The 1,274-nt window shown below is 42.7% G+C and overlaps 1 annotated feature.

Moving 5' to 3' along the window:
* Positions 271 to 440: a silencer, noted in NCBI's record as "fragment chr9:89951383-89951552 (GRCh37/hg19 assembly coordinates)". NCBI's record gives its function as "represses an EF-1alpha promoter that drives an FKBP-Casp9 reporter gene in an ReSE screen in K562 erythroleukemia cells {active_cell/tissue: K562}" and the evidence as "EXISTENCE:reporter gene assay evidence [ECO:0000049][PMID:32094911]".

The raw sequence follows: 1,274 nt of genomic DNA on the forward strand, positions 1-1,274 counted from the left end.
ATCTATCCCTTTCTGCGACCTTAGGGTAAACTTGGAAACTCCCAAGCCTGTCTTTGGGAAGTGGGTCTTTGGTATACCCTCACATCCAACATGGCAGGACTAGCAATGGTGAATAAGATATCTACGTAGACATCCTGAGAAAATGTTACTGGTGCCCCAGAGCCTATGCATGGTCTGCAGAAGATCCACAAACGTGTCCTCAAAGGTTCTGAGATTAGCTGTGCTGACCAAAGATCACAAAGCTATGGGGTCTGTGGAACATGGGGACTCATGACCCCTACCTGACATGCAGCCAGAAGGGACCAGCTGCACACAACAAGCTCCATGCAGAGACCCATAGAAGGCCCAGCCCATCTGCAACTAGCAGATGAAGGACTGGTGCTCAGGGACACAGTATCTCCTCCCACCACCCCAAGGTTATGTCACTTCTTTCATGCAGCCAGATGCCATCTAGCGGGGTGAGGAAAACAGCAAGAAATCTGAAATACTGAGATAGTTGAGAAACAGGCTCTCTCTCTCTCTCCTGGGTTTTTCTCCACCCCCAGCACATGAAAGAATTGTAAGGAAATTTAGATGATTGATAATAAACTATAAAATATAAAATCTGGATTATCATTATATATTTTATGGTGATGGGTAGATTTCCATACTCGCCACAATTACTAGCCTTTCCTAAATTAGGACATTTTCTGGAATGTTCTTCTAATAAAAACTAAGTCATTATCATTATACTTAGATTTTATAACCAAGAATTCCAAAGTCATATTACCAGTCTACTACGCTTTCCCAATGAATCCATCCTGTAAGTCTAATTTCTAAATACACTTGTTGTCCACAAGGTGGCCCTAGAAGCAATAGAATACAGTTCACCTCCAGAGCAGCCCGACCGCTAAAAGGACTCAATCCTTTTTGTTTTCCCATTTATGAGCAATTAACGGAGTGAGAACAGAAAAAAAAAGAGCACAATTAAACATTGTACTAATAAACTGATAACGCGTCTTCAGTGTTTGTTTTTACCAAACAGAGCAGAACTATGAATCATGCGGCCGCGGAACTGCACACCTTGGCTGTGTATGGCACCGAGGCACCTTGCGTTACCTCCGAGGATGTCTGCCAATTTTTTAAACATGCAAAACCATAGTGTCAGTAAAAGAAAAGTTCCCAGAAGACTCGCAATTGTGCAAATGGGGGGGGAAAAAAAACAAACAGGCATCAGCCATCACAAAATTCCAGATTGCCAGATTCCTTGATTGTGGCTTTTAAGCAAAACACAG

The sequence above is a fragment of the Homo sapiens genome, chromosome 9 (assembly GCF_000001405.40).
Source record: "Homo sapiens chromosome 9, GRCh38.p14 Primary Assembly".
Lineage (NCBI taxonomy): Eukaryota > Metazoa > Chordata > Mammalia > Primates > Hominidae > Homo > Homo sapiens.